Source organism: Homo sapiens, chromosome 19 (assembly GCF_000001405.40).
Source record: "Homo sapiens chromosome 19, GRCh38.p14 Primary Assembly".
NCBI classification, from domain to species: Eukaryota; Metazoa; Chordata; class Mammalia; order Primates; family Hominidae; genus Homo; species Homo sapiens.
Window position 1 is genome coordinate 34,500,121 of NC_000019.10, and position 13,529 is coordinate 34,513,649.

Consider the following 13,529-nt stretch of genomic DNA (forward strand, 5'->3'; position numbering starts at 1 on the left):
TTCCCTAGGACTGCGGGCTGCAGCTGAGCGGGGAGGAGGGACGCCGTTGCTATCCCCTGGCGGGCCACCTACTGTGTCGTCGTTGCCACCTGCGGCGCCTCCAACCTGGGCCTCTTCCCTCACCCACTGTGCACGTCACTGAGCTCTGAGCAGGGGAAAACCCGTCCCTGGGCCGGGGTGGGTGTGGGTGTGGAGGGAGGGCCCGCGTGGGTGGCCCTGGTCAGCGTCAGGGGAGCTCCCTCCAATCAGTTTCCCACCGAGCTGCTGTCTGCAGGGGCCGGACCCCCGCGTGGAAGCTTCTATTTATTCACCGTCTGTGCCTGCTCAAGTCACTTCCCTGCGGGCCCTGCCTCCCACCCACCCCATCACCAGCTTTCCACTTGGAGGCCCCCTGTGCCCTGCAGCCTCAGGGTAGGCCGTGGGTCACCAGGCTGGAGAGGGCCCCTGCCTTGGCCAGGGGTGCGAGGTGACCCGGCTGCATTGCTGGGTGGGAGCTGCTGTCTGTTGTTCAGGGGCCTGGCCCCCGCCCTCCCCCCCGACCCCGACCTCGCAAAGCGCACTCCCGGGCAGGGTGTGGTCTGGAAGGCGGGGCTGGCGGGGACATGGGTGTTCCTGCATCTCCTAGCGCAGTTCCTGCTGGTGGGTGGAAGGGTGCCTGGTTTAGGCGGGGTCCCAGGAGGGGGTGAGGGGTGACACCCTTGGGGAGGGGGCCTGCAAAGGGCACTGCCTGTGGCCACGTGGTGTCTGTGGGAATTGGTCCTGGGGACTTTGATGGGTGTTTGCGGCCCCAGTTGCCGCCCTGCTCCCTCTTCCAGGGCTCCTGGCTTGGGCCCCCCGACCCCCCTGCTCAGCTCGGGAAAATCCCCGTGCGGCTCCAGCCCCGGGTCACGCTCAGGAGCGATGAGAGGGGCGCCCTGGCCACGCTTCAGGAAAGCCTGTGTCTGCGCGCGGGGCAAGGGGCTCCACGACAAAAGGACAAGATTTGACTTAAATTAAGTTTTTCCCTTGAGGATATTTTCATTTTCTTTAAAAGAATATAATTTTCTTCTAAGATCTTGGACCAGCCTTGTTATTTTTAAAGCAAATGCCGGCAAACTCACAAGTGTCTAGTTTGTCTGTTACGGAGCTGGTTTTCAGGTGGTAAGAACCTTGTGGTTTCAGGACTTTTGTCCTGAAATTCCTCTAAAACTTCGCCACGCGTGTCCACCTTTCAGACTTTAGGGTAGTGTGGGGTTCCGTGTGTGTCCGGGTGTTAAGGGCGGTCGCCCCATGAAATGCAGTGTGGAGGTCCCTCCGTGCTCCCCGGGACACACTGACGGGAATGTGGGGTCTGGACATGGGAGGCCCTGGTCCTGATGCGGAATCCCCAGGGGTTCAGGGGACATCTGGACTGAAGTCACTCGCCCCTGGGAGAGCCTGGACCCACCTCTTGGCTGCTGCTCTCCCCTTCCTCCCCCACCGTCAGGTGTGAGTTCTGTGAATCACTCGCGGGGCTGGGCTAGGCTCCGGGAACCAGCAGGGCTGTCCAGGCCGAGCCCAAGGGAACAAACACCAGGAGGCGCCCGCAGGGAAGTGGCGGCTTCGGAGTCCAGCAGGGCCGAGGCATGGCGCGGGCGCCACCTGGTGGGCTGAGCCGGCAAGTACAGGGGTGGTCAGGGAGCCTTAGCCAGGGACTTACACAGCGTGGAGAGCGCTGCATCTTAGAGTGGGGCCTTCAGCAGGACCAGGGGCCACTTCTTGGAGGAGGTGATCCCACTGGGGCCAGAGAGTAAAGTCCAGGCGTGGAGGCTCCGGTGCTGGCTCTCTCCTGCTAGCTGAGCTGCTTTTTCTTTTCTTTTCTTTTTTTTTTTTTGAGACGGAGTGTCATTGTGTCACCCAGGCTGGAGTGCAGTGGCACAATCTTGGCTCACTGCAGCCTCCGCCTCCCGGGTTCAAGCAATTCTCCTGCTTTAGTCTCCCGAGTAGCTGGGACTACAGGCGCACGCCACCACGCCCGGCTAATTTTGTATTTTTAGTAGAGATGGGGTTTCACCATGTTGGTCAGGCTGGTCTCCAACTGCTGACCTCAGGGGCGATCCACCCACCTCAGCCTCCCAAAGTGCTGGGATTACAGGTGTGTACCACTGTGCCCGGCTTTTTTTTTTTTTTTTTTTGAGACAGGGTCTCGTTCTGTCGCCCAGGCTGGAGTGCGTTGGCACAATCTGGGCCTACTGCAACCTCTGCCTCCAGGGTTCAAGTAATTCTCATGCCTCAGCCTCCCCAGTAGCTGAGACTACAGGTGTGCCCCATGACGCCCAGCTATTTTTTTTTTTTTTTTTTTTAAAGACAGAGTCTAGCTCTGTCGCCCAGGCTGGAGTGCAGTGGCGTGATCTGGGCTGACTGCAACCTCTGCCTCCCACGTTCAAGCATTCTGCCTCAGCCTTCCAAGTGCTGGGATTACAAGTGTGCGCCACCAGGCCTGGCTAATTTTTGTATTTTTAGTAGAGTCGGGGTTTCACCATGTTGGCCAGACTGGTCTGGAACTCCTGGCCTCAAGCGATCCATCCGCCTTGACCTTCCAAAGTTCTGGGATTACAGGCGTGAGCCACTGTGCCTGGCCTTACTTTTTGTATTTTTAGTTGAGAGGGGGTTTCAGCATGTTGGCCAGGTTGGTGTCAAACTCCTGACCTCAAGCGAGCCCACCTTGGCCTCCCAGAGTGTTGGGATTACAGGCTTGAGCCACCGTGCCTGGCCTGGGCTCCTTTGCCTTCTAACTGGTCAGTTGCAAAGCTGTCCTCTGAACTGTCCTCTCTGCTTCCTCCCTCAAACCTGCTTTGAGCCGGGTTTCTCCTTGTTGCCAACCCGGTCCTTCTCCTCCCCTTCCTTTGCATGTGCCATGGTGGGCCCTGTGCTTATATCCATGGGGTTGCTTCACTGAACCCTGCTCCATCCCGGTCACCATGCACGCTCCTGCCAGCTGGCCTGAGTCATCACAGCTTGGAGTCCCCCCAACCCCACCCAAGTAACACACTTTGTCAAAGGTCGCAGTCAAGGGACTGCATAGGCCCTTGGGGCAGTGGCCTCACCAGGCCACACTCTGCCCTTTCTTTCTGGGCCCCTGGGCCCCGCATTGCCTTCTGTCAGGGCTGGTGGCCACTGCTCCACCTCCTCCCCCGGAGCTGTGCATGGCAGTTCCCTCCGTGGGAGCCACTCTCCCGGGGTTTCTTCCTCTATGAAGAAACCTTGGCCTCTATGAAGTCAGGCCCCAGTTGTGACACCTCACTTGACACCCAGAAGTCTTGGCCTCTGCTCTCCAAGCTCATTTGCCAACAGCAGTATCTCCATTTCATGCCCAGGGGTGACACTGACCCCATGATTATAGAGATGGAGGATGCTGTGTGAGAACTGGGCTGAGCCATGCCAGTGGCCTGTGACCCTCCAGCCCTGGATGCCACCCCCCACCTGCCCAAGGGGACCCCCACTGATGTGGTCTCTGCTGACACCTGTGCCTGTGCCTGGGGTCCCTGTCATCCTTCCCTGGTCTGAGTGGCAAGTCTCCTGCCATCCCTGTCCCCGCTATGCGGTGAGCTCTTCAGCTTGGGCCCGCCTGGTGGCTCACGCTACTCTCCACCGTGCCTGGATTAGGGCGAGTGCTGAGGCTGGAGCTGACCCTGCCCTGGCCTTCAGGGTCTTGGCTTAGTTCCACCTGCACTGGTCCAAGTCCAGCCTGGTTGCCTAGTGAAGGATCCACAGTGGGTACATAAAGGGCCAAGCGCTGTCCACGTGGACACATCCTATGTGGGCGTGAGTGCTCCCTGCAATCCCCAGACAAGCCTGCCTCTCAGCGGGGCTCAGCTCAGAGACATAGACCCTGGAGGGCTGAGTCTGCCTGTGTGCGTGTGTGTGTGCATGTGTGTGTGTGTGAGAGAGAGACAGGGATGGGGGGAGAGTGTGTGTATCAATGAGAGAGACGGAGAAAGTCGTGTGTGAAAGGGATTGAATATTTCAGAAAATGAATGAGAGAGATTGGGAGAGATGGTGGGAGGTGGAGTGGGAGAGAGACCTGTTGTTTAAGAGGGAGACTGAGTGACTCCGAGAATGAGGGGGAAAGATACGGAGACAGGATAAGCTGCAGAGAGAGAGGGAGAGAGGGATTGAACTGGAGCGAGACCAACAGAGCCCTGACGCTGGGATTTGGGAGGATTTGGTGGGTTCTCAGTGACCCCACTGAGGCCTGACCCACCAGTGGAAAAGGCTCACCTCCTGTAAGTGACCACACTGTGGGGTGTAATTGTGTGTTTGTTTGTGTGTGTGTGTGTGTGTCTGTGTGTGTGTTGGCGTCGCCCTGATGGCCTCTTGGAGGGTCCTGGGGTGGGTGGGTCTTGGGCATGGGGTGCCCTCTGCCCTCATTCTTTCTTCATCCGGGCTCCCTGCCCCTGTTGGGGTGGGAAGCACAGATGTCAGCTTGCTGAGCTGCAGGTACCATGACAATCCCAAGTGGAACTGCTCTTGGGGGGCTGTGTGGGGAGGGGCCACTGGGCAGGATTTATGAGACCTGGGCAGAGGTGTGGGGAGCAGTGTGGGCCAGAGGGTGACTGGGGGTTGGGGTGAGTTGGGTAGGGTGCAGCTGTGCTCATCCCTCCCACCCAGCCCCACCCTGAGGCTGGTCTCTAGCTCGTGAGCAGAGGCCGAGAGAAGGCCCTTCCCCATCACGGGGTCCTGTCTCGTCCGGTCTGGCAGCCCTCATCTGGCCAGGAGGCCAGCAAGGACTTCCGGTGCCACACTCGGGAGGGGTGAGGGCTTTGCTGGCTGCAGGGTTAGGAGTAGGCGCAGCCTGTGGGGCCCAGGAGAACCTTGGGGTGGGGATCAAGAACAGGTCTGGGAGAGGGGGGAGCATCAGGGCCACCTGCAGCCTCCACCCAGCCCAGCTCTGGAGGCTTTGCCCCCACCCCGCCCCCATGGTAGGCGTGTTCCCTAGAGGCTGGTGGGGACCTGGGAGAGGGGCATGTGCACACATTTCATGGGGATGATGGGGGACTCTGGGAGCCAGCCTGGGTGGGGGCTCAGAGGTGGGAGGGGCCCTGAGGCCTGAGGTGGTGGAAGGAGCTCACCTATCTCAGGCCCAGGCCCTTGCCAGGTTCCTAGTCCCTGGCCGGATACCCCAGGGTGGCCTGGGATCCTGGAGAGTGCTCAGGAAACTCAGGAGGAGTGTGGACGCGGCTCCTCTCCTTCCACCCACTTCCCTGGCCCTGAGGGCATTGCTGGGCCACCATCCCAGACCTGGGGCATGTGTCACAGGGCTGCCAGGAGGGCATAGGGCCCAAGGATTCCCCAGGGATGCCAGCCCCCCTGTGGGCCCTCAGGACTGGTAGCCCTGGGCCCCCTGGCGCTTTGTAGGGAGGTGCTCAGCAGTGATGGTTGTGTGCCTGTCACACCCACCCACCTGTGCCTCCCCCCACCTGCCACGCCCATTGTCCTACACCCAGCGCACACTCCTCTCCACGCTGCGCACGTGAACCCGCCCGGGTCACACACCTGCCCTGCCATGGTGACAGGACTGTGTGGGATCTCTGCCTCCCTGCCTGAAGTTCCTGCCATTGGGACCTGTCACAGGCACACAGGACACAGCTGGCTCACCCTCTTCTCTGACAGCACCTGGGCCATCCCTGATAGTGATCAGCCCTGCTGAGGAAGGGTTAGGGTGGGCTGCAGGCTGGAGGCCAGGGAGAGGCCCTGGACCGGGCCTGGCATTTACTCACCCTCCTCCCATCCCACACTGTCCCGGAGCCTCCATCTCCACCTGAGCCAGCTGGGTTGATGCGGATTTCCAGGCATCCTCAGCGGGACCCATGGCCTGGGGTCACCACCTTCCTGAGCTGCGTGGATCTCAGCCAGGACTTCTCGTCCCTGAGAACAGATTGGGGCTGGGAGTCCCAGCCCGTCCCTGGACCAGCCCTGCCATCAGCTTGCCCAGCCTAGTTCCCTTTCTCTTCTGCGCTCTGAATGTGCACTCCGCGTGTTCAGATGCTCATGGTTTCTGATGAGAAGTTGGCTGTGTCTCTCACGGAGCCTCTCTCGGAGGTGATGAGTGACTTTTCTCTTGCTGCCGTCAAGATTCCTGGCTGTGGATTGGATGGATGGGAAGCTCTGTCCCTGAACAGCCCTTGTGACTATGGGGCTGTCCTTCCACAGTGTGCACTGAGGGTGCAGGCCAAACCTTTTAAAGAATAAACAGAAAGAAATCGGCTCTTTCACTTCTTGCAAGTTGGTGAAAACAGACTCTTCCAGGGAATTTTAACTTTTTATCATCCTATTTACTCTGGAAAGCCTTGTCTCGTGTTTTAGAGCTTGTAGGGTTTAATAAAACTAGTTAACAGCCAGGCACGGTGGTTCACGCCTGTAATCCCAGCACTTTGGGAGGCCGTGGCGGATAGGTCACTTGAGGTCAGGAGTTCGAGACAATCCTGGCCAACATGGCGAAACCCCGTCTCTACTAAAATTACAAAAACTAGCCAGGTGTGGTGGTGGGCACCTGTAGTCCCAGCTACTGGGGAGGAGGCTGAGGCACGAGAATCGCTTGAACTGGGGAGACTGAGGTTGCAGTGAGCCGAGTTCACACCACTGCACTCCAGCCTGGGTGACAGAGCTAGACGCTATCTCAAAAATAAATAAATAAATAAATAAATAAATAAATAAATGAATATAAATAAAACTGGTTAAAAATTGAGTCTCCCTGAAGTAGGTGCTCTTTCCCGTGAAAACTACTTTTTTGGTTTGGTTTGAAGGTAAGAAAGAGCGGGAGAAACTTTGCTCTTTTCATTTAATAATTGTGTTCAGCCTGGCCGGGCGCGGTGGCTCACGCCTGTAATCCCAGCACTTTGGGAGGCCGAGGTGGGCGGATCACCTGAGGTCGGGAGTTTGAGACCAACCTGACCAATATGGAGAAACCCTGTCTCTACTAAAAATACAAAATTTTTAGCCGGGCATGGTGGCGCATGCCTGTAATCCCAGCTACTCGGGAGGCTGAGGCAGAAGAAGCGCTTGAACCCGGGAGGCGGAGGTTGCAGTCAGCCGAGATCGTGCCATTGCACTCCAGCCTGGGCAACAAGAGTGAACTCCGTCTCAAAAAAAAAAAAAAAAAAAAAAATTGTATTCGGCCTATGATGAAATATTTTATTATTAGATAGCAGTGTCACTAATAAGTTTTAAGTTGTCCAGAGTTAATTGTGAATATCAGAACAGGATTCTTATAACAAAAGCAGTTGTCTTAAGATGAATGGCTCATATTTGGGTGCAGTATTTGATGCCCAAAAGAACAAACATAAACCAAAAAAAAAAAAAAAAAAATTCCAGACTGTCCCCTTTGGATGCCAGTTGAATCTGTGTCTTGTGCCCCCTGAGGGTCTGCCCGGTCACATCCCCTTGTCTTCTCTAGGGTTCACGGGGATCCTTCTCATCCTCTTCTAGGTACCAGGTTCCATTAGTTTTGTCTGTCAGTCTTGTCACCAGGGAGCTGGAGACCTGGAGGGGAGCCCTGATGTCTGGGACAGTGCTTGTCAGTGGATGGGCTTTTGCATAGGGGGATGGGGTAGGGAGTGAGTCATTGCATTATAGACTTGGACTAGGTGGATGCTATTTTTCATGGTGGTGGTGATGGGAGAAGCTGTTGGGTTATTTCACAGAGGAAGCCCGAGCTCCCTGCTGAAGATGATAAATGATGCACAGATTTCAATCCATCCTACGGCTTCAGCCTCCAGTCCTGGTCCCACACATCTCCTGGAGCAGAGCCTGATTCCCAGCCTCTGTAGCTGGTTGAGGAGCAAATAGGTTTCCCTGTCCTGACTCCACCTTGGAGCACCTTCCCTTGAGACCCACCAGGCTCTCTTTCAGTCACAGCATCTTCCTCCTGCTCCATGTGGTTGAAATCTCAGGTCCTCTAAGGATCCCTCCTCATTCTCTGTTAGTGTGAGGTGGGACTTTTTTTTTTGTTTTGAGATGGAGTCTTGCTCTGTCGCCCAGGCTGGAGTTCAGTGGCAGGATTTCAGCTCAGTACAGCCTCGGCCTCCCGGGTTCAAGTGACTCTCCGGCCTCAGCCTCCCAAGTAGCTGGGATTACAGGCACCTGCCATCACTCCCAGCTAATTTTTTATATTTTTAGTGAATACAGGGTTTCATCATGTTGGCCAGGCTGGTCTCTAACTCCTGACCTTAAGTGATCTACCCGCCTCAGCCTCCTAAAGTGCTAGGATTATAGGTGTGAGCCACTGCACCTGGCCTGTGAGGTGGGAAGTTTCAATACTCCCTTAGCCTTGGTTTGGTCACCAGAAGGAGGGGACATGAGTGAAGGTCCCAGTCCACCCTATGCAAGCAGAAGCCTCTTTGGTTTTAGTTTTAAAGGTGCATTGACCCATGTACCTTTGCATGGACATGTTCTTATTTGGGGTTACCTTTGTGTTGACTTTGTGTGGCCAGGACCCTGGAGATGAGGCCAGGATGGCCGACTCCAACCCCTTAGCTGCTTCCTTGCCCTGTATGGAGCAGCTCAGCCTGGGATGCAGGAGCAGCTGTGTCCCTCCGCTCCCGCCAGGCCTCTCCCCCTGCCTTCTGGGACTGGAAGTTCCTAGGAGTCCGGAAGTGCTGAGCTGCAGGAGGCTTCTCATGGCCCCAGGACACACCCATCACCCCATCTATATTGAGATGTTATCTAGAGAGACGCCTGTAGTAAAATCCGCTCTGTGACGGTGGTGTATAAACATTTTCTGTGCAAGGACCTTGCCCTCCTTTTCAAAAAAGTAAGTATGACTCCCACATGAAAATTTTCTTCTACAACACGACATACGTTCATTGTGGTACATTTAGGAAATTTAAATGATTTATTTCTTATAAAACATCATCTGTTTTTCTACTGGACCTGGCTTTTATAAATCATGCGGTGATAAATAATATGGCAGTTAGAGCTGGGTGCACTTGGCTCCTGCCTGTGGTCCCAGCTGGCTGGGAGGCAGAGGCAGGAGGATTGCTTGAGGCCAGGATTCCAGGCTGCAGGGAGCTATGACTGCCAGTGCACTCCAGCCAGGGTAACACAGCGAGACCCTGTGTTAGCCTGTTTTCACGCTGCTGATAAAGACATCCCCAAGACTGGGAAGAAAAAGAGGTTTAATTGGATTTACAGTTCCACATGGCTGGGGAGGCCTCAGCCTCCCACATGGCTGGGGAGGCCTCCCACCAAAAGGCACTTTCATGGTGGCGGCAAGAGAAAAATGACAGAGATGCAAAAGCAGAAACCCCCGATAAAACCATCAGATCTTGTGAGACTTATTCACTACCATGAGAACAGTGTGGGGGAAACTGCCCCCATGATTCAGATTCTCTCCCACTGGGTCCCTCCCACAAAATGTGGGAATTAAGGGAGTACAGTTCAAGATGAGATTTGGGTGGAGACACAGAGCCAAACGATATCATTCTGCCCCTGGCCCCTTCAAATCTCATGTCCTCACATTTCAAAACCAATCATGACTTCCCAACAGTCCCCCAAATTCTTAACTCATTTCAGCATTAACCCAAATCCAGAGTCCAAAGTCTAATCTGAGACAAGGCAAGGCCCTTCCACCTATGAGCCTGTAAAATCAAAAGCAAGTTAGTTACTTCCTAGATACAATGGGGGTACAGGTATTGGGTGAATACGGCCATTCCAAATGGGAGAAATTGGCCAAAACAAAGGGGTTACAGGACCCATGCAAGTCCAAAATCCAGCGGGGCAGTCAAATTTTGAAGCTCCAAAGTGATTTCCTTTGACTCCATGTCTCATATCCAAGTCACAGTGATGCAAGAGGTGTGTTCCCATAGTCGTAGGCAGCTCCACCCCTGTGGCTTTGCAGGGCATAGCTCCCCTGCTGGCTTCTTTCATGGGCTGGCATTGAGTGTCTGCGGCTTTTCCAGGCACCTTGTACAAGCTGTCAGTGTATCTACCATTCTGATGTTTGGAGGATGGTGGCCTTCTTCTTACAGCTCTACTAGGCAGTACCCCAGTAGGGATACTGTGTTTGGGCTCTGACCCCACATTTCCCTTCTGCACTGCCCTAGCAGAGGTTCTCCAAGAGGGCCCCTCCCCTGCAGCAAACTTTTGCCTGGGCATCCAGGCATTTTCATACATCTTCTGAAATCTAGATGGAGGTTCCCAAACCTCAATTCTTGACTTCTGTACACCCGCAGGCTCAACACCACATGGTAGCTGCCAAGGTTGGGGTTTGCACTCTCTGAAACCATGGGCTGAGCTGTACCTTGGCCCCTTTTAGCAATGGCTGGAGTGGCTGGGACACAAGGCAGCAAGTCCTAGGCTGCACACAACATGGGGACTTTGGGTCCAGCCCACAAAACCATTTTTTGCTCCTAGGCTTCTGGGTCTGTGATGGGAAGACCAATGACATGCCCTGGAGACATTTTCCCCATTGTCTTGGGGTTAAACATTCCCCTCCTTGTTACTTATGCAAATTTCTGCAGCCAGCTTGAATTTCTTCTAAAAAAATGGGTGTTTCTTTACTGCATCGTCAGGCTGCAAATTTTCCAATTTTTTATGCTCTGTTTCCCTTTTAAAATGGAATGTTTTTAAACCCAAGTCACCTCTTGAACGCTTTTCTGCTTAGAAATTTCTTCTGCCAGATACCCTAAATTATCTCTCTCAAGTTCAAAGTTCCACAAATCTCTAGGGCAGGGGCAAAATGCCGCCAATCTCTTTGCTTAAACATAACAAGAATCACCTTTGCTCCAGTTCCCAACAAGTTCCTCATCTCCATCTGAGACCACATCAGCCTGGACCTTAGTATTCATATCACTATCAGCATTTTTATCAAATATTAAACAAATTTCTAGGAGGTTCCAAACTTTCCCACATTTTCCTATATTCTTCTGAGCCCTCCAAACTGTTCCAACCTCTGCCTGTTACCCAGTTCCAAAGTTGCTTCCACATTTTCGGGTATGTTTTCAGCAACACCCCACTCCCAGTACCAATTTACTGTATTAGTTTGTTTTCATGCTGCTGATAAAGACATACCTGTGACTGGGAAGAAAAAGAGGTTTAATGGGACTTGTAGCTCCACATGGCTGGGAGGCCTCAGAATCATGGCCTGAGGCAAAAGTTATGTGGTAGCGGCAAGAGAAAATGAAGGGTGCAAAAGCGGAAACCCTCGATAAAACCATGAGATCTCGTGAGACATATTCACTACCATGAGAACAATATGGGGGAAACTGCCCCCATGATTCAAAATATTTCCCATTGGGTCCCTCCCACAACACGTGAGAATTATGGGAGTACAATTCAAGATGAGATTTCGGTGGGGACACAGAGCCAAACCGTATCAGACCCCGTCTCTACAAAAACAAAAACAAAATAAAAAAAAGTAGCTACGTGTTTGGGCCTGGCTTTCATTATTTACCAAGGATCAAGACCTGAACATGAAAATGGCAGGCCAAGGGTTCCTGCCTTTGGATGCACATGGCCACCTTGCCCACTAGAACATCTGTGCCAAGCAGTGTTCCCATCAATCATAGGAAAATACCATTTCCCGCATCCTTACCAACCCTAGGTATTGCCAATAAGAAAACAAAGTCTGTATCAATTTGATGAAAATAATTTGAATGTGTGCATTTGATGAGCTGTGAGAATGAGAATCTTTTGCATGCATTGGCCATGGGCTTCCCTTTTGTGAGTTGCCTGTGAATGTCCTTTTCCCAGTTTACTAGTTTGGGATTGAATATTCTTACACATTTATTTGGTGAAGAACTTTTATTTCAAATTATGAAAGAAAAAAATACTTGCTAGAATTCTGATTTGAAGTGCTTTCAAATTCTGTGTTAATTTGGAGCTGACACCCTTTAATATTGAGTCCTGGCTTTGAGGGTCTGGTGCGTTTCCTCCATTCACTGAAGTTTTATTTTACATCTCTCAGTAAAGCTTTATGGATTAGGGTCTTCAGAAGCCTTACTTGTTTTTCTGGCTCTATTTTCTTGTCCAGAAACTCCACCACTGTGCTAAAGAGACAGTGGTGGAGGTGCTGGGCGTGCTGCTTTTCTCCTGGCTCTAATGGGAAGGCCAAGAGGCAGGTCAGGGTCAGACTCCACCTTGAGTCTGGCATTGGCTGTTGGCATCATGAGGACCCCACGTATTGTACTTTGATAAAGTTAATAAATGGAATTCTCCTTTACCTCAAGAATGCCTTATGTGTTGTGTGTAGCATGCACCTTCTTGTGGAAACAGCTTCACATGTGAGAGCCCTAGCACGCAGGTGATTTCAGGACCACCCCCAGCCCATCCCGTGGCGCAGGATCCAGGCAGCTGCAGTGCAGGCGAGGACCCCTGGCTGGGCGCGGTCCTGTGCGGGTCCCTGTGCGGTGCAGGCGTCCATGCACTCTGAGACTCTCAGCCTGCTCTGTGGCCTGTCACGTTGTGTGTGGGGCAAGACGCTTGGGTGCACATATGTGAGAATGGGACTGTGTGTGTGAGTGGAATGCGCTGTTGGGAGCGTGTGGGGTGTGTGTGTGTGGCACCTGCGGTTGGGGTGTGTGACTGTGTAGGGTGGGGATCTGTGATTATATGAATATGAGGGTGTGATTGTTGCTGGGACTGGGCACGTGGCTGCCTCTGTCTCTGCCTCTGTGTCTGATAGAGACAGGAAGAGATGGGGGAGGCCTGGTGTGGGGGCCCTGCGGGACAGGGCCAGGGGACCCTTCCTCACTTTACGCCATCTGAGGACCCTCCCCAAGGGGAAAAGCCAGCTACAGTGGAAAAGCACTGGCAGAGTGGGCTTCGTCCTGGGGAGAGAGGCTGGGAGACTGCAGCTGAAAGATGTGGGCTCCAGGAGGGCCTCAGGGGGCTGAGCATCAGGGTCAGGGAATAGAGGGCCTGGGAGCAGAGGGCGGCCCTCCCTCCATCTTCCTTCCTTCTCTGGACTTCAGAGCACTGTGTCCCCTTCCCACTTGCACAGCTGCAGGTGGAGCCAGCTGGGGGGCTTTCTAGAGGGAGTGGGGTCCTCTGAGGGCCAAGAGGGCCAGGTCCCTGAGGACCTGAGGCCCCTCTGGGCCTCCCAGGGCTGGGCCTGTGGCTCTGATCTGCTTTGTCCTGGGAGGGACATGCTCAGTGGTGGGGTTTGTGTAGCTGTCACTCACTCACCTGCCTGTGCCCAGCCACTCACCTCTCACTCCCATCAGCCCCACCCAATACACACGTGGTTCCTCAACTACCATGAGGGGAAGTTCCTGCCTGTGTCACACACATCCATCCCACCCACCACACTGCAGGTTACAGGACTGCCCCACAAGTGCCACCATGCCCGCATGAGGTTACCTGGCACACAGGTATCCTCACCTGCATGACATGACCAGATCGTGCACTTTCTATGCCAGGGCCAGGGCCAGGGCAAGCTTGCACCTTCAGCCTTGGGGACACTGGGGGTGGTGGTGGCTGGAGGCCAGGGAAGTCACCAGGCTGGAGACATCATCTACCTCCAGGAGAGGGTTGATATCAGACATCTCCCGTGCACCACTTTAAGCCACCTC

General features: G+C 54.1%; 1 protein-coding gene across 3 annotated transcripts in view, besides 4 other annotated features; it reads left to right on the top strand.

The window, feature by feature from the left end:
• The window catches only part of WTIP (WT1 interacting protein), a 30,547-nt gene extending 18,363 nt beyond the window's left edge, over window positions 1–12,184 (top strand). For 2 of the 3 annotated variants that reach the window (XM_011526452.4, XM_011526453.4), the window contains exon 8: window positions 8,451–12,184. In XM_011526452.4, the coding sequence (XP_011524754.1) occupies window positions 8,451–8,717 (267 nt within the window). In that variant the 3' untranslated portion in view covers window positions 8,718–12,184. Of the gene's footprint in view, window positions 1–8 lie in introns of all 3 variants that reach the window. The other variant, NM_001080436.2, reaches the window with a different exon arrangement.
• Window positions 1,690–1,749: a silencer, noted in NCBI's record as "silent region_10505". NCBI's record gives its function as "represses an Ori minimal core promoter by ATAC-STARR-seq in GM12878 lymphoblastoid cells {active_cell/tissue: GM12878}" and the evidence as "EXISTENCE:reporter gene assay evidence [ECO:0000049][PMID:35858748]".
• Window positions 3,299–4,120: an enhancer, noted in NCBI's record as "H3K4me1 hESC enhancer chr19:34994324-34995145 (GRCh37/hg19 assembly coordinates)". NCBI's record gives its function as "activates a minimal SCP1, AML or CMV promoter by ChIP-STARR-seq in naive H9 embryonic stem cells {active_cell/tissue: H9 hESC(naive)}" and the evidence as "EXISTENCE:reporter gene assay evidence [ECO:0000049][PMID:30033119]".
• Window positions 5,131–5,631: an enhancer, noted in NCBI's record as "H3K4me1 hESC enhancer chr19:34996156-34996656 (GRCh37/hg19 assembly coordinates)". NCBI's record gives its function as "activates a minimal SCP1, AML or CMV promoter by ChIP-STARR-seq in naive H9 embryonic stem cells {active_cell/tissue: H9 hESC(naive)}" and the evidence as "EXISTENCE:reporter gene assay evidence [ECO:0000049][PMID:30033119]".
• Window positions 5,632–6,132: an enhancer, noted in NCBI's record as "H3K4me1 hESC enhancer chr19:34996657-34997157 (GRCh37/hg19 assembly coordinates)". NCBI's record gives its function as "activates a minimal SCP1, AML or CMV promoter by ChIP-STARR-seq in naive H9 embryonic stem cells {active_cell/tissue: H9 hESC(naive)}" and the evidence as "EXISTENCE:reporter gene assay evidence [ECO:0000049][PMID:30033119]".
• Window positions 12,185–13,529: the final 1,345 nt, after the last annotated feature.